General features: G+C 40.7%; 1 protein-coding gene across 5 annotated transcripts in view, besides 2 other annotated features; it reads right to left on the reverse strand.

The window, feature by feature from the left end:
* The window catches only part of CHN1 (chimerin 1), a 206573-nt gene extending 198764 nt beyond the window's left edge, over nt 1-7809 (reverse strand). For 2 of the 5 annotated variants that reach the window (NM_001025201.4, NM_001371513.1), the window contains exons 1-2: nt 7634-7809; nt 7322-7508 (exon numbers count right to left, since the gene is read on the reverse strand). In NM_001025201.4, the coding sequence (NP_001020372.2) occupies nt 7322-7340 (19 nt within the window). In that variant the 5' untranslated portion in view covers nt 7341-7508; nt 7634-7809. Of the gene's footprint in view, nt 1-7321 lie in introns of all 5 variants that reach the window. The other 3 variants (NR_038133.2, NM_001822.7, NM_001371514.1) reach the window with 3 other exon arrangements.
* Nucleotides 6979-7525: an enhancer, noted in NCBI's record as "H3K27ac hESC enhancer chr2:175869279-175869825 (GRCh37/hg19 assembly coordinates)". NCBI's record gives its function as "activates a minimal SCP1, AML or CMV promoter by ChIP-STARR-seq in naive H9 embryonic stem cells {active_cell/tissue: H9 hESC(naive)}" and the evidence as "EXISTENCE:reporter gene assay evidence [ECO:0000049][PMID:30033119]".
* Nucleotides 7510-7569: a silencer, noted in NCBI's record as "silent region_12131". NCBI's record gives its function as "represses an Ori minimal core promoter by ATAC-STARR-seq in GM12878 lymphoblastoid cells {active_cell/tissue: GM12878}" and the evidence as "EXISTENCE:reporter gene assay evidence [ECO:0000049][PMID:35858748]".

Below are 22774 nucleotides of genomic sequence, written 5' to 3' on the forward strand. Positions count from 1 at the left end.
ATATTTCAGTCAAACAGATGTTTCCATTTTCCTCAAATGGACATCCACACCACTCACCTGCTGCCTGTCAAACCTAGCACCAACTACTTCAAAACCTAAAATCATCTTTACCAGAGTAACTTCACAGCCATTAAAGAACAGAAAACAATGGCAAAGTTCTATATAAAAGATACAAAAGGCCGGGTGTGGTGGCTCACGTCTGTAATCCCAGCACTTTGGGAGACCGAGGCGGGAGGATCACGAGGTCAGGAGTTCGAGACCAGCCTGGCCAACAAAAATTAGCTGGGTGTGGTAGTCCCAGCTACTTGGGAGGCTGATGCAGGAGAATCGCTCAAATCCGGGAGGCAGAGGTTGCAGTGAGCTGAGACGATGCCATTGCACTCCAGCCTGGGTGACACAGTAAGACTCTGTCTCGGGGGCGCAAAAAAAAAAAAAAGATACAAGATAGGGCCGGGCACAGTGGTCCATGTCTATAATCCCAGCACTTTGGGGGGCCGAGATGGGTGGATCACATGAGGTCAGGAGTTCAAGACCAGCCTGGCCAACATGGCAAAACCCCGTCTCTACTAAATACGCAAAAATTAGCCAGGCATTGTGGCACATGCCTATGGTCCCAGCTACTCAGAAGGCTGAGGCAGGAGAATTGCTTGAACCTGGGAGGTGGAGGTTGCAGTGATCTGAGATTGCGCCACTGCACTGCAGCCTGGGTGACAGAGTGAGACTCTGTCTCAAAAAAAAAAAAAAAAAAAAGATACGAGATTAAAAAAAAAAACATACTTTAAGAGCTGAAGATTATGACAGAAATGGGAAAAATCAGGAAGAATTTGCAGTTTAAAAAGCCTCAGACTCATTCAGTTTTGAAATGTCAAGTCTGTGGTCACAAAAATCTATTCAAGGAGAGATATGTCTGACATATCCTTGTGCTTGCCTTACTCCACGGAACATATGCAATCCAAAGGAATCGAAAGGTCAGAGTCAGAGTGGAAAGAGAAAGGAAACACTTTCAGCGCTGCTGGATAAAAAACAATGAGGTGGCTCTATGCCAGGCCACTGAGCAGCTGGTGACATGCTGGCCTGACTCATCTTCCCTTCTCCCACATTCTCTCAACTGTGGGTATTGGCTCTTTCCAAGAAGTGCTTACTTTTCTAAATTTAAAACAGGTAGGAACATTTTTACCTATCAATTTTTAATTTTATTTTTTGTTCTTTGAGGAAGAAAAGTAAAAAAAAATCTAAAAATGTAAAAAGCTCTTAAAGGTTCTTGGATATAAAACCATTCTTTTCTTCTATCTAATCTTTGTTTTTAAAGCTCAGGTGGTTTTTTAAATTAATATATCTCAGCTTTACTGACATAAATTCCCATACCATAAAACTCACCCTTTCAAAGTGTACAATGTAGTGGTTTTTAGTGTATTCACAAAGTATCTATTCTTTTAAAAATAAGCAGCCAAATTAGGAATGTATATTTATAACTTTATTTTGTCAGGCTTTTTTTTCTATTCAATATGACTTTTCAATGTAAATATGGTCATACTGTACCCTGTTTCCTTAGTTTTGTCCTATCCTATTTTTAAGGATAGTAGGATTATATTAATTAAAAAAAATCAAAGTTCATAGAAATTATTTTCTATGTAAGAATAACTAATGGCTGGTAATTTGGTTACAAGGCCAGGCTCAAGGACTTGCCTTGAATTGAGTTTGCACAGAAAGTTCTGTGATTTCATTTAGTTTACATATTTCAGATAAATAAAGTCTTCTAAAGATGCTGTAATTGATGCTTTCTATAAGACTGAGAAAACATCAATTGCCCATAGCAAAGGACCTCATCTTTATCAGAGGGACTTGGAGAAACGCTACACCCTCACCAGCCCCAGCAAGGTACTCTTTGTCATGGCTGCTCTCAAGATAGTAAATTCCTAGGTTAAAACAATCTTATGAAAAACCTATAACTTATTATACTAATGTCATTCCTTTAAAACTATTATTATAACATATAAAGCATGACCAAACAGTATTTTTCTGCCTCACTATTTTATGATTGCTTTAAATTAGTATAAAACATGTATTCTCAATGAGTTGAGGAGATGGAGAGTTGGGGTAAAAAAAAGTACTGTATTTACGTTATGCAGAAAGCAGATATATCTACAGTACATAAACAGATACATAGTATATCTCTGGTATTAAATTTTCATGGGGAGAACAATTAGAAAACAGGCCTAAAAGGCCGGGAGAGGGAGGATTTTTTAAAAGGTTGAGAAAAAGTAATCTAAAAGAAACTAAAATCTTTATTGACAAATATGTCAAATTTGTATAATTATACATATCACTGTCTTCTATGTTCAAAAATTAGGCTGCTTATAGGATGGTTACCTGCAGAGACAGATGTGACTCAAAAGACTGCAGTGCCAACATTCCTCTACAGTGTACACAGATGGTGACTATCAGAGTTATAACAACTATAATTATTTTATTGTTCTTACATAGTACCAGCTCTCCACACATTAAAAGACAAACTTTAAAGCTAAAATATTAGAACCACAGGCATGCATCACCACACCTGGCTAATTTTTTTTTTTTTTTTTTTTTGAGATGGAGTCTCACTCTGTTGCCCAGGCTAGAGTGCAGTGGTGTGATCTCAGCTCACTGCAACCTCTACCTCCTGGGGTTCAAGCGATTCTCCTGCTTCAGCCTCCAGAGTAGCTGGGACTACAAGCATGTGCCACCATGCCAGGCTAATTTTTGTATTTTTAGTAGAGACATGGTTTTGCTATGTTAACCATGGTCTTGAACTCCCGACCTCAAGTGATCATCCACCTTAGCCTCTCAAAGTACTGAGATTACAGGCATGATCCACCACACCTGGCCTGATTTTTTTTGTTTGTTTGTTTTGAGACAAAATCTCGCTCTGTCTCCCAGGCTGGAGTGCAGTGACACAATCTCAGCTCACTGTAACCTCTACCTCCTGGGTTCATGGGATTCTCCTGTGTCACCCTCCCAAGTAGCTGGGACTACAGACACCTGCCACCACACTTGGCTAATATTTGTATTTTTAGTAAAGGTGGGGATTCACCATGTTGGCCAGGCTGGTCTCGAACTCCTGACCTCAAATGATCCACCCACCTCGGCCTCCCAAAATGCTGGTATTACAGGCATGAACCACTGCACCCAGGCTTTATTATTATTATTATTTTCTGTAGAGATGGTATCTCCCTGTGTTGTTCAGGCTGGTCTCAAACTCCTGAGCTCAAGTGATCCTCCAGCCTAGGCCCCCCAAAGTGCCAGGAGGCATGGGCCACCCATTACAGATGTGAGCCACCATGCCCAGCTGGGTTTTCTTATTTTTACTCTTTTAGAGACAGGGTCTTGCTGTGTTGTCCAGACTGGAGTGCAGTGGCTATTCACAGGCACAATCATAGTGCAACTACAGTCTTGAACTTCTGAACTCAAGCAGTTCTCTTGCCTCAACCTCCTGAGTAGCAGGGACTACAGGCACATTGCCACCATGTCTGACTAAAATATTAAGTTTTGACACCAGTACAAGAAGGAACATGGACAAAAATTTAAATAAGGATGATGATTTAAATGACAGCTGAAAAGAATATATTCTGAAAAAGGCAGATGAGCTCACACCACTGGGCCAGCCTCTTGTATTCTTTGGACAACTGAAAAATAAAAATGTCAGCAGAGAGTATAGTCAAGTGGGAACTTCCTATAAAATTAGCTTTCAGTCAAATATGAAAATCTTCAATTGACTTGTCTTTTAAAAAATACATTTTAATTTCAGGACATTCCTATGGGAAATCAGAAAATTTCCTAACTACATCACAAAGAATATGCCATTGCTATTTAATTGCTCCAAAAGATGTCCATAGGTAGGTGTGTCAGGTTAGTGACAGATGCTGAATAAAGTGAGATAATGAAAAGGTTTCCATGGCAGAAGGGTCTGAGGAAAGATGGTACAAAATTATAGCAAAATCATAAGCATTATTAGAAGTGATCTATGGTAGTAAGATGGTGACTAAATGGTAACAAGAATAAGGGGCAAGGAGGGTGAGCAGCAACGCCAGAGGTGACTCTACCCAGATAGAGGACCATTATTCAAGGTTCAGCCAGCCCAGCCGACGGTAACTGAGTTCCCAATCGCATCAGTTGGTCTGGGCTATAAACCACAGCCCCATTAAGCTATAAATGACAGAGATTCCTGCCAAGGCAAGAGCTGGCAGAATGCTTATTCACCCAGCTCTGCCAACTAAGGCTCTATTGGTGTGGCCAATCAGGACATTTTGTCAGGTACACCAGCCACAAATTCCCATATTCAAGGATCTGAGACTTTCCTTTTATCCCAGTAATTACTAGAAAACATGTGCTCTCTACTAAGGAAGTTCTCACAAAGCCTATACGGAATTAGTTAATAGTTAAGTGCCACTCACTATACGGAATTAGGTAATTAGTGAATTAGGTGCATTCGCTATAGTTCTAGAAAAGACTCTGAAGTGCCACTAGAGGACCATGTCTCTTGTACGCTGTGACAGATGTTTGCTGAAAAAATGAGCAAGGTGAGCGAGCAGAGTCTGTAATACATTTGGATAATTTTTGAAATTGGGGGATTTAAAAACTATATCGAAGCTGATAATGAGATGTGAGTTCATTTGAAAGGAGAAGAAAAACGGGTGCAAATTCTTAAGCTTTCAAAAATGCACATTTTCAATTCCCAAATGAGACTGTAAAATCTTTCAAGATTGGGGTCTGGTTCTTCTATCCCAAAATAAAACTAATATGCATTAAAAATATGTTAAGCAGCAAAGGTGATTAACAGTGAGGATGAGAGATAAAACAGTCTTAACTATTCAGCTTAATTTAACAAGTATTCGAGTTCCTATAATATACTTAACAGGTGAAAAAAATTAAATGTATGCAAATACAAAATCAGGTAATGTTAGAGGCTCCACTTTTTAAAACTAAGTCACCAACTCCCTATAAAAAGAACATTTCTTAAATTTATAAAAAGCCTGAATGGAAAGAAAATGTAAAACACAAAGCAAATAACTAGTCTAGACTCTACTGCTGGACTGCACTAACTAATCAACCAAGATACAAAAGATAGGGCCCTGGCAGTCGTTACTCTGGGGAGCCTCAGGTATAAACTCTGCTGAGCTCTGACAAATCCTGTTGATCTGGTTAGGTCCCTGCCTCTAACTCTTTTCACTACCATCTCACAGAACTTTATTGCTCCATTGCTCTTCTGTTCTAAGTTGGTCATTAAGAGTAAATATGAAGGGACATGAGGCACTTCTGACTAAGACCAACTAGTTAAAGGTAGTAAAATCTAAAATAAAATCCATTTCTTCTAACCCTTAGGTACATCTCTCAACATACACAAAAAGCTATTTTGTATTGGGCGAGTTTGACCCAATCTCCTAGCATTTATCTTGAATACAACAGTTCTCAAACTTGAGTGAGCATAAGAATCACAAAGGGAGTCACTTTAAAATCCCCTTCCCCCATGTCTTTGGGCAAAAGAATCTACATTTTTAATAGACATCCCAGATGACTGATGAGTGGTGTACAACCACTTTTAAAAACAGCTGCTGCTCTATCACTACTTAACAAATAGCCTCTGCACTCAAGAGTGCTTTGTTTTATAACACAGAAACGTTCACACTGTAACAAACTGGATTTTGGGAAGTGAATTCTATTTTCCCATAAGTAGACTTTAAAATTTTAAAGATACATTATTCATTTTGAAGGCTGGGAGTGATTTCTTATACTTTCTTCTATAGGCCACATTCCATGCTTTTCCCTTCCTCATCTTCACCACAGTGGTTAAAGATTTAGAATTTAGAAATCCTTTTAAAAGAGCATTTTTCACCCCAATTTATCTTTTTTATTCGTCAGGAATGCGAGTATTTGAAAAGTTGACTTGTAAACCTTACTTCTGAAACCACACCTTGAAAATGCCAAATATCTCTTTAGGAAAGAAAATGTTTGTACCAAAAAGGTCCACATTTAAGGAAAATGCTGCTATTAAATAATGCTTAGATACAAGGTACTGAGAAACAGCGAGAATTTTATTATTTTTCAGAAAAAGAAGACACTTTTTTAAAGTACCTATGGAGGATCATCACCAAGTAAGAAATGGCACTTCTAGTAATGCACTTGGGCACAGTAAACACAGTCCCAGACTGAAGCCTGGTGAAGTGAATTCTAGGCTCAGTTTTGCCACAAAAGAGCCATGTGACTTTGGGAAACAACCTCTCTGGGTCTAAGTTTAATTTATAAAATAAGATAGTTAAATAAAAGTAACACTTTGATTCTAGCAGCTTAATTCACTGGGAAGTATTTACCTCAAAAAGCATTTGAGGTATGTAACACCTCTAACGTGTTTGATCAAATGACATAATTAAAACTGAACTGGAAACTTGATATTGTGAATAACTTACTTAGGCTGTTCTCGTAGCTATCAATTACATATCATTGTACTTTGCTTCTTCAAAAAAGCTGAATACTTTGAACGTCTAATGTTCACATATTGAGTTTTCTTAAAGTCAGGTACGTATGTACCATAGTCGTTTTGTAAAAGGAAAGAATGTATCTTTTCAGTCCTTTTTCCCAACCCATTGTCATTGCAGACTGAGAAAAAAACAGCTTGAAGTCTTAACCACCAAAAGCAACAGTGCTGCAGTAATTACACCACAAAAATAACATTTCATTCTTAATGAATACTCAGTCTCCTGAGATTACAGTTATCTTCTGGTAACCAACTTTATTCTGTCTGCTCTCATTCGTTAGTGCAAACATTTTCAATTTTAACCCATATTCAGTTCACAAATCATACTTATTTCCAACGGAATATACTGAGTCCAAAAAAAAAATTCCCCAATAGTCCAACAGGAAGCAACACATGCATTTGGCAATTCCAAGGAGGCTGGGGACTCACAGATACCTCGTTCAAAATAAATAAACTTTCCAAGGATTTATTTACCGACGGGAAAGGCAGGTTTGAAAACAACCAGTTAACTTCACTCCCAAGTTGGCATCTTAGAGAATCTTTGTGCGTTTGCAAAACACCCAGGACCTCTGAGCCTCCCAGCCGAGAATTGGCCAGGGGAGCACACGCCCATCGGCCCTGCCGGGAGAGGAAACAATGGGAGAGGCGCGAGGGAGCAAGCCGGCGCCCCGGGCGCCCCAACTCTGCGGCCCCGGCCCGCCCCGACCCCACGCGCCGCGCCCCCTCCCCGGGCGCCCAGGCCCCCCAGGCCCCCGCCCCCGAGCCCCGGGACGCGGCCCACCTGCGGCGGCGCGGGGAGACGGCTGCACTTACCAAACAGGGTCAGGGCCATTGTAAAGGCGCTCGCCGCCGCCCGCGAGTCCAGGCGCTCCTCCCAGGCGGGCTAGGGATCACCTCATCAGCCCGCCGCACCCACACCTCGGAGAGAGTGGGGTGCCCGATGGGGCGTGCTGGGGGCGCCGGCGCCCGGGGAGGCTGCAGGCCGGGACGCGGGGGACCGCTGCAAGAAAAAGTTATTCACGCGTTATTGTCGGGCGCACCGGGCCCAGGGAGCCCCGCTAGCTCTCCGCGAGCCGGCACTTGTCGCTGCCATCAGGCGCGGAGCGTGCGCGCGGGAGGAGGTACCTGCGAGGCAGGAGGCTTGGCCGCGGCGCAGTGGCTGGCGGAGAGGCGGCGCCGCACTGGCGGCGGCGGCGGCGGCGACGGGGAGAGCAGCAGCAGCCTCGCACAGCCCCCGGCGGGGCGCGCTCACTCCGCATCCCGCGGCCTCGCAGACGCCATCTTGCGATAGCGTCTCCCACGAGCTCGGCCGCGCCGCTGCCTCCCGCCTCTCCCTCGGGCTTCCCGGTCGAGTGCGTTCCCATGGCAACGGGCGCGCGCGGGGGTAAGAGGGTGCGCCCTCATTCCCGCGGCTGCGAGGAGCCACCAGCGCCCCCCTGGAGGCGGCCGCCCGGAGCGGGATGGAGCGGGGCCGGTGTGCGTTTTAGCTGAAAGCCCAGGTTTTTTCTTGAATGGAATTTGAGGAGGCGCAGAGAGGAGAAAAACGCTGTTACTCGAAAGAGGAAGAGTCACAGGAGGATGCTGAGTGAACGCAGCGCCCAGGCAGGGTCATCTGGGGACCTGGTGCGTGTGAGAACATATTTCTTCTCCTGGCGCCCTCCAGGCTCACTGTGGCTGGAGCCGGTGACCTGAAGCTGCAGGGCTCTGGTAGGAACAGAGGCACTGAAAGCTGCATTCCTCTCCGTTTGGACTTAGGAGCTGCTAGTAGTTCTGATGAAATTGACACACATTAGGAAAAGGAGTCGCTTAAAAAGCATCTGAGATTACCTAAGATAATTTGTTAAAAGACCAATGCTTACACCTGATTTTCTTCCCTTTACATTATACCTCTTTGATATTGTCTCAAGGAAAAAAAAATCAGCATGTGTCACTGACTGGCACTTATTTGCCACAAAAGATTGTTCCCCTGAGCTTCTTGTATTTATCTGATAATCACTGGCAACGTCCTCCTTTCTGTGATGTTGTCTCCTCACCTCTGTCTCTGCCATGAGGAGCCATACAACGCCTTGAGATTGTCAGCCAAAAGATGTTCTTGAAAAGCTGGGTTATATGTTTTTCGTCGTTGTCGTTTAATGTATTCAAAAAGTCATTCTTCTCTAGTTGCTATATGTGTTCCCTGTTTAAGAAATTCCTTCTTTTTTCTTGTTTCTCTGCTTAGGGATTTGATACTATTTTGGTATCTGATCATGTAGATCTTCTCTTTGGTTCTCCTTTCTTTCTACAGGCGTCTTTCCTCTTAGTTCCTCAGGTTCCCTAGTGTCTTCTCTCCCATTTTCAAATAATTCTTTAAGAATATTATAGAAATATCTTGTATTTAATGTATCTTAGAGATCGAATCCTGATAAAGTGGGAGATTACTACAGTACTTCCAATGGAACCACAGTTAATTCACCATCATTATTTCAAAGCAGACTTAAGCATCAGAAGAAAAGCAGGTTGGAAGGAGGAGCCAAGCCTTTTGTTTCAAGTCAGTTAACTCAGGAAGAAAGAAATATTAAAATGATTCAACATGAATGGGCAAGTGTTTAAGATGCTATATGTTTGGAATTTTGTGATGTAAAATGGCTCTCTTTAGCCACTAATCAAAATACATCTTTAAAATCCCCAGAATTTAAAATCTTTCATGAAAATGGACTCTTGATTTTGAACAACCTTTCTGCTCATAAAAAATTACAAACACACAGCTCATGAAAATAAATGAGAAACTCAAGAAAGCTTTGTGGGATAGATTTTATAACCATATAAAGATTGCTGCTAATCTGCTCTGCAGCCAAATAAATCAGAAACCGAAGACTCCATTTACTGTTTCAACTAGTGGTCTTCAACATTTTTGGACCAAATTTCCTTTTGAGGCTCTAATGAAAATACTGTCCCTCCTCTTAGAAAAGTGCTTGCATACATACACACATTCACCGGAAATTTTTCACATAATTTCAAGGGGATTATGGGCTATTCAGGGACCTTAGGTGAGCCCCTGGAAGTGTTTTTTGTAATCTCAGAAAGTTTTTGCCTTTATAATTTAAAGGAAAATATTTTCCTTCAGAATAGAACCATTGAATTTTGAATAGGAAAAGACCAAAACTCCCATGATTTATAGGTAAAAAAATTGAGTTCCCCGTAAAAAGATTTTCCCAAATGTGTTCACCTATTTAGTAGCAGAACCAATGGGAAAATCTTAGATTTCTGGTGTTCTCACCGACCACCTTCCCTACCCACATCCCGCATCAATTTAGAGGTTGCATGGTTTGAATTTCAAAAGAAAAATCTGTTTAGTATTAGAAGCAAAATAACGAGAGTATTTTGTCCTTAGCCATTCTGCATAGAGTTTGGGAAGTTGCATTTTGTCTCAAAGAGTTTTTATTAACATGCCCTTCTACTCAGAACTATGTGTCCCATCATGCTAAAAGAGAAACAATGCCTTTCTCTCCTCTTTGTTAAGCTCTGTTAGAGCATCAAGGTTTTGGTGCTGCAGCTCAGCTTGCTAGTAGCTCTCTCCATCCCTTGAGGGGTTGTCCTGGGAGTGAGACAGAGAGAAAGGAGCTGCCCTGCACTCAGATTTACCCTCCCATCATACAGCCGGCCTTTGGTTACTAGACCAGCTTTCCACTCACTAGTTTGGCCAAATACAACTGAATCCTAGTGAAATACCCTGCTTAAACTCAAGTGAAGATCCTTTTCCTCTCCCCTTTCTACTCGCACACCCACGTACACACACACACACACAGCTGTTTTTAAGGTACAATTTGGAACAAAACAGTGTGAATGTTGCTATGTTTCCCTTTAAAGCATCCTGCTTTCCACGAGCCATTCCTTTCAACTGACTTCCAAATGGTTTGATGCTCTAACAAAATGCTCTCTATACTTGATCAAAGTGCCTGTCTTGGAAATAGTATTGGCTTTTAAAATAGCGTATTTTTTTCAATGAGCTATTCCTATTCTATTGCATGTGCTTCTTTTCTCACTTAGCTGAAAATAAAGCCACAGCCTTTCAGCTACAGAGTCAATGCAAGGAAGGGCGTTAACTGCTTGGAGGTGATTATTACGGGTGGTGACTTAGATTGTTTATAAAAGAAGGGCAAAGAATGAATTGACTTCTCAAAATATTTATGTTTTCATTCAATGATTTCATTTTGTGCTTAACATGCAAGTGCTTAGAAGAGCCAGATTTGTTTATTCGTTACTAACTAGCTGTCAGATTTTTAGACAAATGTTTTACTGTTTCTAGTTCTTATCTTCCTCCTTTGTAAAATGAAAGGATGGTACTAAGGTATCTCTAATGTCCCTTTTAGGTTTATCTGTCATTGTGTGATATTTTAAAATCTTTAAATTAACTGGTTTATGGATAAAACAGAGGACATTTTTATTTGAATCTTCAATATATTTAAAGTGCTGTTATATCTAAAGTTCATAAATACCTAATGTAATAAAGAAGTCATATTTTGTCAAACCAGTGGTACTGCTATTTCTTCTGCAATGTGTTGTACTAATAATGTTATATTAATCATGTAGAAAGCAACCTTTTTCTGGTTTAACAGGATTAAAATTAAAAGTGTGCACTGAACAACCCATTTCAAATTTACTAAAACAATTTCTCATTTTTATTTAAGTTTTGTTGACTAAACAGAACCTAGACAACCCTTTAAAATGGTTTTCCTACATTTTAAACTAATGACTTATCACAAGTGTTTTGAATTTCTTTTTGTTACCCATTTAGCTTCATTCCCATTGGTAAACATTGATTTGTTCCTCAGTTTTCAATGAAGCAGAAATTAATGAGGCGGTTTCTGCCTCACAATAACAAGTTAAAATTATAGTACTTTGTCATGTCAACACAGCTTTAAACACTAGGAATACCAGTGCTATTAGCACAGTTCCCAAAATAGTGCAGAAGTTTGCTAGTGAAGAGAAAAATGTTACACAGTATACTTCTGCTAAAGTTAAAATTAAGAAAGTTAAAATTATTTAAATATTCACAATATGTGACATTCTCTCTATCCCATATTTATGTTACTAGTTACAGTGTTTGTTTCCACTGTGTGAATTTGTTTAAAGTGGATTTGTTTTTGTTTTGAGACAGGGTCTCACTCTGTCACCCAGGCTGGAATGCAGTGGCACAATCTCAGCTCCCTGCAGCCTTGAGTTCGTGGGCTCTAGCAATCCTCCTACCCCAGCCTCTGGAGTAGCTGGAACCACAGGTGCATGCCACCACACTCGGCTAATTTTTGTATTTTTAGTAGAGACAGGGTTTGCCATGTTGCCCAGGCTGGTCTGGAACTCCTGAGCTCAAGCAATCCACTCCTCTCAGCCTCCCCAAAGTGCTGTGATTGCAGGCATGAGCCACTGTATCCAGCTATTTGGTCTGTTTGGTTTTTTGTTTTTTTTTTTTTAGACGGAGTTTCACTGTGTCACCCAGGCTGGAGTGCAGTAATCTCAGAGCTGACTGCAATCTCTGCCTCCCAGGTTCAAGTGATTCTCCTGCCTCAGCCTCCTGAGTAGCTGGGATTACAGGCATGAGCCACCACACCTGGTTAACTTTTTGTATTTTTTAGTAGAAATTGGTTTCACCATGTTGACCAGGCTGGTCTTGAACTCCTGACCTCAAGTGATCCACCTGCCTTGGCCTCCCAAAGTGCTGGGATTACAGGCATGAGCCACCGCGCCTAGACTATTTGGTTTGTTTTTAACAACGTTTTCCTTAAACACTTAATTCCGATTATTTTTTACCCCCCTTCTTGTTTTTTATCTCAGACTTTCTGAATTAATAACTTACCTGATATTTGTGTGGCATTCCATGATTTACAAATAGCACTTTCACAGGACAAAGACATATGCACACAAGTAACTAAGGCAGCACTTGCCTCAAACATAAGGATTTAGACCATAACACTATTTATGACAAAAATAATATTTATGTCATAAACTGTAAAATTGCCCGTTAAGCTTAAATAACTCAATGTTTAGGAGAATTATTTGTGTTCTGTTCACCACCAGAGGGTGCCTAAATTATAATAGTAATATTGGGCCTTAGAAATGAAGTAAAACTCAATTTGAGAAATACATAAGAAACCTTAAGAATTTAAAACTTTCTCAGTTCCCCTACACAGTGCTTGCTATAGTAGCAGAAGATAGTCACCAAAAATATGCTAAAATGAGAGGTGGCTATCATCTGGCTAGGCGCAGATTAGGAATTGGATTATTACTGAGGAAACACTGCTCAGCTCTTATTATATCACTTCCGAAGTAAAAAGAAAATGTGTTTGTAGAAGCTGTGTGTGTGTGTGTGTGTGTGTGTGTGTGTGGGTGTGAAGGGAGGGGAAATTGGAATTGAAAATCAGAACCAGGAGAATGGAGTTCTTGTTCATTGCTCAGCACCAAGAGGAACTCTTAGTTCAATAGGCAATAAAACCACAGATATTACTGTAAACCCTAGGTTAGAATATTCTAAAAGACACAGGTTCTAGTTTTTTAAATTTTGTGATACAATTTCTTTTGATATACTGTCAAAATGGCTACTGGTTTGGAGTGGCACATAAAAGGAAGGGAGTGTGTAAAGAAAAGGTCTGTTTTTAATGTGTTTTGAATAGATGTTTTAGAAGAATACTTATTTCCTGGTTAATAGTACAGCAGATCTTTTGGAATTTTTTTATAGGCTTAAAGTCAAATACATTTTCAAATACACATTAGATAAAAGAAGAATGATGATGGCTGCTCTTAAGTAAAAGTTTTTGTTCTGAACTACTATCATATTATAGTACTTTAAGCCAGCATTTCTATTCAAGTGTATTTTTCTCAGGTCACCAGGCATATCTAATGCACAGTGTGGCTAAATGTCTATTTGACTGGAGCAGTTGGATTTCTGCCAGATTTAGTTTTCAAGAGGGTATAAGTGGATTTGGCTACAAATCAAATCTCCCTAACATGGCCATGGTTTTTCTGGTTAACGTGGGTGTCCACAATAAGAATGACTTATTCAAGTTGATTACATTGTGAGTGGTAAATCAGGAAAATAGCTATGAACTCTGGATTAGACTTACACAATCTCCAATTAGAAAACAGAACTGAAAAACAGACAAGTGAAATTCCATGATTAAAATCACAATCTGGACTGGAAACTCGTCTACTGCTGTGATGGAGTTTTCATAAAGCTCTTTTGTATTCTGTTGTAAAATAGGACCTGTGTCAGATATTTGAGACAATGCACATATTTAAAATCATCCATCCATCCTTTATCCATTCAACAAGTATTTGCTGAGTACCTACGATATTCCAGGCATCATGCTAGCTTCTGGCAAAGAAGCAAAAGATGAATCAAACATGTATCCAGATCTAAAAAAAAAAAAAAAAAAGTAGTCTCTTGGGAAAATGGGACAATGACAGAGGCCATAACAGGAGTACAGATTAAATTTTGTGGGAGTTCAGAAAAGAGAAAGATTATTTCTAGCTGATGAAATAGGTAAAAAGTTCATGATAGGTGAAGCTGTGCTTTGAGGTCTGAACAGGAATTAGGCAAACAGAAAAGAGAAAAAGGGAAATGGAGTTTAGGAAAGAGGGGAGAGCATGAGGAAAGTCTGAGACTTTCTAGTGAAAGCCAGAACATGAGGAAAATCGTGAGAGAAGATTTGCTGGCAGGACAATTTGTTGCAAAGGACTCATGAGAGGAAGAAGTGGGGGAAGAGGCTACACAGGCAAGTTTGAGGACAGATGTAGAAGGCCAACCTGTTGAGATGATGCTTATTATGTTGTCTGAAGCCTGCTTTCTACAAGTACTTAAGGCAACTAGGAATTTGGATTCATTATGTAAAACTCTGGCCTCGGATTATTTGTAGTGCCCTATTTTCCAGTAACACATTTTTGAGTTACAGTAAAACTGTCGAATACACACACACACACACACACACACACACTTGCCATTGTTGTAAGCTAATAAGGCACAGTATACCCTTGAGATTAAGCTCATCATTTCATCTGCTACCTCCCTGGAACTTCTAGAATGCCACAGTCATCTTGAAAAAACACTGGTCAGAAACACTTGGATCTGAATCTTGGCTTCACCTCTCACTACCTATGTGATTTGGAGAATGTTTAAACCTTTCTGGATTTCAGTTTCTTCTTCTGTAAAATGAAGGTACCTTCTGTATCAGTTTGCAACATTTTGGTTGCAACTGATGGAAAATTTAACTCAAATTGGCTTTGAGTTAAATGAACAAAGAGAATTTATTTGCTCTGTAATGGGAAAGACCAGAGTCAAGGTGAGTTTCAGGGAAGGCTGATCCAGCTGTGCAAAGAATGTCCCCAAGGACTTAGTTTCTTCATTTCTCTAGTCACTGTATCATATACCACAGGGCACCCCAACTCATGGCATCTCCAGACTCTCCCCTTTTGGTAGCAGGATGGCTTCAGAGCTTCTAGACATCACATAGTCCCACCTCTCCATCCAAGGGAAGAGAGTTGTGCATACATCTTGGAATCTCTCTCTCTCTTTTTCCTCTCTCTCTCTCTCATTGGCCTGAATTGGGTTGTGTGCCCATCCATGACTCATCACTGTGGCCAGGGGGAAGAGGCAAGTGCAAGCCAATCAAGAGTTACCCTGAACCTGAGGGGAATAATCTTCTCAAACCTCATGGCTGAGGTGAATTTCCTGTAGAAATACCAGTCAACAACTAGAGGAAGGGAAAAGTAACTAGGCAGGCAACTAGCACATGTCTGCTTCTACGGTCAGTCTGAGAGTAAAAGCACAGAGTGGACAGTCAACAAATATTTTTCTTCCTCGCTCCATGTGGATTATCTTCCTCAGTATTCAGTAAAATCTAGTTTCTTATAAAGCCTTAAATATTTTCATTTATCTTTTGTTTACTTATTTTTTCAGAGACAGAGTCTCACTCTGTCACCCAGGCTGGAGTGCAGTGGCACAATCATAGCTCACTGCAGCCTCAAACTCCTAGGCTCAAGTGATCTTCCCGCTTCAGTCTCCTGAGTAGCTGGACACCACACTCAGCTTCAGGTCCTCTTCTTATGAAACAATCTCTTTTGAAATGCCAAAGCAGTGCCTTTCTCCTTTAACCTCATAAGTATTTGCTTCCCAGACTATATACAGTCATGGCAGCATCACCAACACAACCTTTTGGAAATAAAAATTGTAATCAATTATTTTACGAAGTGTGTTTTCTACTATGCAATACCATCCAAACAGTTGGATTTTTTTTCATTAAATCAACCATTTGTTTTGTCATATTTTTCAATTTCAAAATAAGTTAAACCTCTTAAAATATAATTTATTCAACATCAGGAACATTATTTTGTATATGTTTTAGGATTTCCAGTTGAGCCTCAAATGGGATTCCACATCTACCTGTATGTGATGAACCAGTAAGCTTTATAGGAGCATACTTACATAAATTGTTATACAGGGATGGGTAAGTATTAATTATGTTCATAATTGGCTACCAGCTATAGAGTTTATAACAAGATAATAGATTCCAGGATCCCAAATGGCCTAGTCTCTTGCATTCTAAGCAAGAATCCATCTGGCAAAAGGAATTTAAAGGGAATTGTAGCCTTTACTTGCATTTCACAAGGAATATTATAGTGTATACTATTCTTCTTAAAATTTCCATCCTCCTTTTCTGCCACACCCCACAGAACACTCCAGAGTGTTCTGGAGCAGAGCACTCTCAACCCCCACAAATTCTCTCCTATACCTCAGCCTATATGACTTTCCTGCCCCTCTCTCCAGCCCCTATTTCTTATTATGTAGATTGGTACCCCTGGTTTCTGTTTACTTTCCTTAACCTTCAAGTATTACCGAAATTCTCCTATGTAAAGGGGATTCAGGAACTGGCACAGCAACCAAGAATCTTCCTCCTGGTCTTCCTGCCTCCAGTTCTAGTCTCTCTCTGGCCACCATATGGATTCAACACTACTAAAAAAGCTTAGAAATTTGATGTGGGAGGGTGAAATAGTACGAAATGTGGCCCAGATACAATTCCAATAAATTTTGTCCCCAGCTTAAAGTGAATGTTAGGAATGTGTGGAATGCTTTCCATACATTTTTTTTATTTGAATCTCTCAGCAACCTTATAAGGTAGATCCTGGAATCCAGGACTTTCAACTCAGAACTCCATTGCACGTCACCTTTCTATAGGAAAGGATCTAGCCACAGATTTTTATCATTGTCATATTCATATACATTCATATAGTTTGCTCATTCAGTATCCTTTATTGTAAAAGTTAGCCTAATACCATAAAAAAAATTTTGTTATAAAAAATTGAGTTTAGAGTTGATGCTCCAATTAGAATCCAGTTTAGAAATTCCGCCTTTATTTTCATTTGACAAAACATTCATTGATGATAATAATGTACCTGTATTAGTCTGTTCTCATGCTGTTATGAAGAAATACCCAAAACTGGGTAATTTATAAAGAAAAGAGGTTTAATTAACTCAGTTCCGCAGGGCTGGGGAGACCTCAGGAAACTTACAATCATGGTGGAAAGGGAAGCAAACATGTCCTTCTTCACATGGCGGCAGGAAAGAGAAATGAGTGCCAAGTGAAGGCGGATGCCCCTTACAAAATGATCAGCTCTCATGAGAACTCACTCACTATCATGAGAACAGCATGGGGGAAACCGCCCCCATGATACAATTATCTCCACTTGGTCCTGCCCTTGACATGTGGGGATTATTACTATTCAAGGTGAGATTTGGGTGGGGACACAGTCAAACCATGTCACTACCAGAAGTTTAGATATAAAAAAGATAAACTTCAAGTAATAAAGCAAATAACAGGTATTTATAAAATATCACTTATGAACTTAGTATTCTGCAAAGAGCTTTGACAGAAAATTTTTACATAGAATTTGAATAGACCAACTGAAAAAAACATTATATAATTGGAGTAGATCTAAATTGAAAAACTGCTGGGAGAGAGTTAACCTGCAACTCTTGCCCTTAAATCTCTCTGGATAATGGTAGTTGGTGAGACGGCTGGCTGAGAGTAGAGAGGGAAAGGAAGAAGGGAAGGGGGTCCTGAGAACCTGCCTGTCATTGGACCATCAGTGTCACTGGAATGCCCAGATATTGCTGGCCCAGGAATTACAAGATAATAGGTTCTTCAGCAGTTGAGTGACAGGATGAAATTTATTTTACTGAAAAGTAAAATTTTAAAATTCCACTCTAAAGTAGAACCAAGAGTTTCCTGTAGAGTTTCTATTGTACCCATAAGTGATTTCATTAATACCCCTTTCTTTCTGAGCTTGGGTCAGAAAGAAGTCTGGTTCTTTGGCTTTAAAAGTGTTTTAAGTGCCTGGTACCTCTTAGCTGTGAGGGGAAGCCAGCTGTCTTAGGGAATGTCTTCCTGTGTTTCCTGTGTTTCTTCTGAGGAACAATGCAAATTGGAGAAAGATAACCTCTAGAGACGGGTGAAGTAAATTACTGGTTTCAACCCAAAGAAGAAAACATCCAGAATGAGAAAAAGCTTCTCATGTCTGGTCTTCAATCAGCGTGGCCACACTTCTGTGTTCTCCACCCCTTTTCTGTGCTCAGTGCATTAGGTTAAGTTTTTCCCTCCACATTGAAGCTCGGCCTCCTTTCCAACTATAATGGGAAACATTAGGCTTTCTACCATCCAACATACATTTATATCCCATTACTTAATGGAGCAGCTAATTCATTTCTCCAGCTTATATTTTTTTAATACAGGACAGTCTCCTTAGGGAAGAGCTGGTGTTTGCTTGTCTTAGGGTAATCAGTCTCAGACCCAGGCATTTCTTAGCATAAGGGAATCAGCCTTGACAGCCTCCACGTTCCACAGTCCTTCCCACTCTCCCAGACCCTCAGGGCCTTAAAACTCCACCCTTCTTTTCCCTCCCTGAAACTTGTGAGAGTTTTATTTAATCAAAAACATTTAATACTAGTTCTTTAGGGTCCCCCCTTTTTTTAAAGCCTGTGCATCCCACTGGTAAGGGGGATATGTTAATCCAGATGCTTGGTTAAAACAAAATGAATAACAACAACAACAACTATATATATACATAGATAGATGATAGATAGATAGATAGATAGATAGATAGATAGATAGATAGATAATGATATTGTTCAGCTGAAATCTCAAAACAATCATTTAAACTGAAGTTCTCCATGAAGCCAACCCACCCAGAAGTAACTCATCCCTTTTTTAACACTCAGAGAACTATTCAAGTATGGATCTTAATGCATTTAATATTTCATACATTTTATTATAACTATTTGAGTATATATGCAAATGCAAATATATATTTTGTACACACGCACTCACACACATATTCTACCATTCTATCTACTGGATCCTTAGCTCATTCAGAGTAGGGTTCTGTTGTTTTTCTTTACATTTCCCAGCATATAGGTACTCACCAACATCAGTTAAATGAATGGATGAATATGTTAATATAAATATAAAAGCTAACAGAGCGATTTCAAATAGGCCACTGCTTTGCTGGACCTCCCAGCGGGTAGCGTGCTAGGATATTGAAGACATCCTTGTCAATGGTTTACACTGCCTGGTTTCAGCCTACATTTTGGCAAATGCAATGGATGGTTTTGTTTCAAGTTTGTATTTATTGCATGGTCACACTATAGAGGATTAAGGAGCAACAGGATGTAAGAAGGTGATACAGTTTGGATGTTTTGTCCCCTCCAAATCTCAGGTTGAAATGTGATCTCCAGTGTTGGAAGTGGGCCTGGTGAAAGGTGAATGGATCATGAGGGCAGATCCTTTATGAATGGTTTGGCACCATCCCCTTAGTGATAAGTGAGTTCTCACTCAGTTAGTTTACCTGAGATCTGGTTGTCTAAAAGAGTCTGGGACCTCACCCTTTTCTCTCTTGCTCCTGCTCTCACCATGCTTGCTCCCCCTTTGCCTTCTACCATGATTGGAAACTTCCTGAGGCCCTCACCAGGAGCAGATGCTGAAGCCATGCTTGTATAGCTTGCAGAACTGTAAACCAGTTAAACCTGTTTTCTTTACAAACTACCCAGCTCCAGGTATTTCTTTATAGCAATGCAACAATGGGCTAATAAAATTGATAAGTAGTGGGGCTTTGCTGAAAAGATATCTGATGATGTGGAAGCAGCTTTGGAACTGGGTAACAGAGTCTGGAAGAGTTCGGAGGGCTCAGAAAAAGATAGGAAGATGAGGGGAAGTCTGGAACTTCTTGCAGACTAGCTAAATGGTTGTGATCAAAATGCAGATGGAAATATGGATGATGAAGGCCAGCTTGATAAGGTCTCAGATGGCAATGAGAAACTTATTGGGAACTGGAGGAAAGATCACCCTTGTTACTCCCTAGTAAAGAACTTGACTTCATTGTGTCCATGTCCTAGGGCTTTGTGGAAGTTCAAACTCAAGAGTGATTACCTACAGTATCTGGCAGAAGAAATTTCTAGGCAGCAAAGCATTCAAAAAGTGACATGCCTGCTTCTAACACCCTAAATCAGATGCAGGAGCAAAGGAACGACTTAAAGTTGGAATTCATATTTAAAAGGGAAGCAGAGCATAAAAGTTTGGAAAATTTGCAGCCTGGTACTGAGGTAGAGAAAGAATCCAAGTGGTCTGGATAGCAACCACTTGCTAGAGAGATTAGCATGACTAAAAGGGAGCATGACTAGATGCGAAGTCATTTCAGAAAACTTTGATGCAGCCTCTCCCATCACAGGCCCAGAGACCTACAGGGAAAGAATGGTTTTGGGACCAGGCCTGGGTGCTGCTGCCCTGTGCAGCCTCATGACACTGCTTCCTGCATCCAGGCTGCTCCAGCTACACCCAAGGCTGAAAGGGCACAAGATACTGCTTGGGCTGCCACTCTGGAGAGCATAAGTCATAAGCCCTTGGTGGCTTCCATGTGTTAAGCCTGCAGGCACATAGAATGCAAGCAAGAAGGCTTGGCAACTTCTGCCTAGATTTCAGAGGTGGTACGGGAAAACCCTAGGTGCCCAGGCAGAAGCCTGCTGCAGGACAGATTACCCATAGATAAACTCTATTACGGCACTGCTGAAAGAAATGTAGGGTTAGAACTGCCACACAGAGTCCTCACCAAGGCACTGCCTAGTGGAGCTGTGGGAAAGGGACAGCTGCCTTCCAGACCCAAGAATGGTAGAGGCACCAGCAGTTTGCAGCCTCAGTGTGGAAAGGCCATAGGCACCAAGCTCCGACCCATGAGAGCATACACAGGAGCTGTACCCTGCAATGCCACAGGGGTGGAGCTGCCCAAGGCCTTGAGAGTCCACCCCTCACAGTAAGATGTGGGACATGGAGTTAAAAGAGATTGTTTTGGAGCTTTAAGATTTAATGTTTGCCCTGCTGGGTTTCAGACGTGTGGGGCCTATTGCTCCTTTCTTTTGGTCAATTTCTCCCTTTTAGAATGGGAATATTTACCCATCGCCTGTACTACCATTGTATCTTGGGAGTAAGTAACTTGTTTATCTTACAGGCTTATACGTGGAAGAAACTCATCTCCAGATAAGACTTTGGACTTTGGACCTGAGGCTTTTGAGTCAATAATGGACAAGTTAAGACTTTGGGGGACTACTGGGAAGGCATGGTTGTATTAAAATGTGAGAAGTACATGAGATTTGGGGAGTTAGGGGCAGAATAATATGGTTTGGATGTTTGTCTCCTCCAAATCTCATGCTGAAATGTGATTCCCAATGTTGGAGATGGTGGGAGCTGGTGGGAGATGACTAGATCATGGAGGTGGGTCCCTCATTAATGGTTTAGTACCATCCATTGGTGATAACCAAGTTCTTGCTCAGTTCATGTAAGATCTGGTTGTTTAGAAGAGTCTGGGACCTCCCCCTCCTCTCTCTCTTGCTCTCGTTCTCACCATGTGACGTGCTTGCTCCCTTTTCACCTTCTGCCATGATTGCGAGCTTCCTGAGGCCCTCACCAGGAGCAGATGCTGGAGGCATGCTTGTACAGCCTGCAGAACCATGAGCCAATTAAATATTTTCTTTACAAATCATCCCTGTTTAGTTTGTTTGCAATTTGATGAAATAAGCTTTGCAAAGTTAAGCCAGATTTTTTTTTTACACCAGTTTCCAGAACATCATACTTGATATGAATATTCTTCCTACAGCCTATAACTAGTGGATCTTTTATGCAGAAGACAGAAACAGGTATCTACTTTTTCTTTTTTAAAACTATATGCAATTACTAAAATATTATTAGACATATAACAATGACAAAAAAGGTATACAAAATGAAAAAGAGGAAAAAGAAACCATTGTCAATTCTACTACCAAAAAGTAACTACTGTTAACACTTTAATTTATATTCTTTGAGATTTTTTTTCCTGACTCTATAGATGTGGCACATGCAAGTATGGGTTTGCCCCCTTTCTCTACTTCTTTGAATACAAATGGTTACAGCAGGTGCCACCATATTAGTACTAAGTAACAACATTACCCTCTACTATAGTTGTTTGGTTAGGTCCATGGATTGACAGTGACCCAAACTGGACCATTCAGAGTTACCCTCTCTCTGAGGATGAAGCTGCTGGAAATAATTTTTGACCTTGTGAAATAAGAAACTGGGAAAACAGTCCAGAGTGAGAGAGATGCATAGAAAGAAAGAGACAAGAGAGAGCCCTGGCAGCATCCAAGTGTCTGGTTCCAATTATCCTAAGGCCTGGAGAAAACTAAACTTCCTTTAGTTTCCCTGGTAGAGCAGATGCTACAGTATGCTGCTTCACAGATCCTCCCCATCAGGACCAAGGTATCCACTGCCCCAGATGCCAGGAGAGTCGGTTACTGATGGCTCAAAGCTGAGTCAGTTCCCAGGATTTGCCCTTGTACTAAGGCAGTTGTTTGGACCAAGGCTGCACACCTTTCCAGGATTATCCTACAAGTAATTATTGGTTAATATGTCGATATAAAGGTCTGAGTCCCTTGCCTCAAAAGGGAACAATGCCAGAGCTCACCATGGAATTAACTGTAGCATGGGTTGCACTGGCATCTCAGTTAAACTTTGCCCTTTGCTCAGTCCTGCTTCCTTCACTCTGTTACAGGTATTGATTCAAAGAGCACTGCCCAGAAAACTTTCTGTCTCCATCTGTTTCCTGGGAAGACTAACTTAAGCCAGTGGGTTTGGCAGAGCTGTCTAAATGTCCCACATAATGCATTCTTTCTTTCTTCCTCTGTAATATGGCATATAATGTATCATAATAAATCACTCTGGT

Source organism: Homo sapiens, chromosome 2 (genome assembly GCF_000001405.40).
Source record: "Homo sapiens chromosome 2, GRCh38.p14 Primary Assembly".
In the NCBI taxonomy this organism is placed as follows: Eukaryota; Metazoa; Chordata; class Mammalia; order Primates; family Hominidae; genus Homo; species Homo sapiens.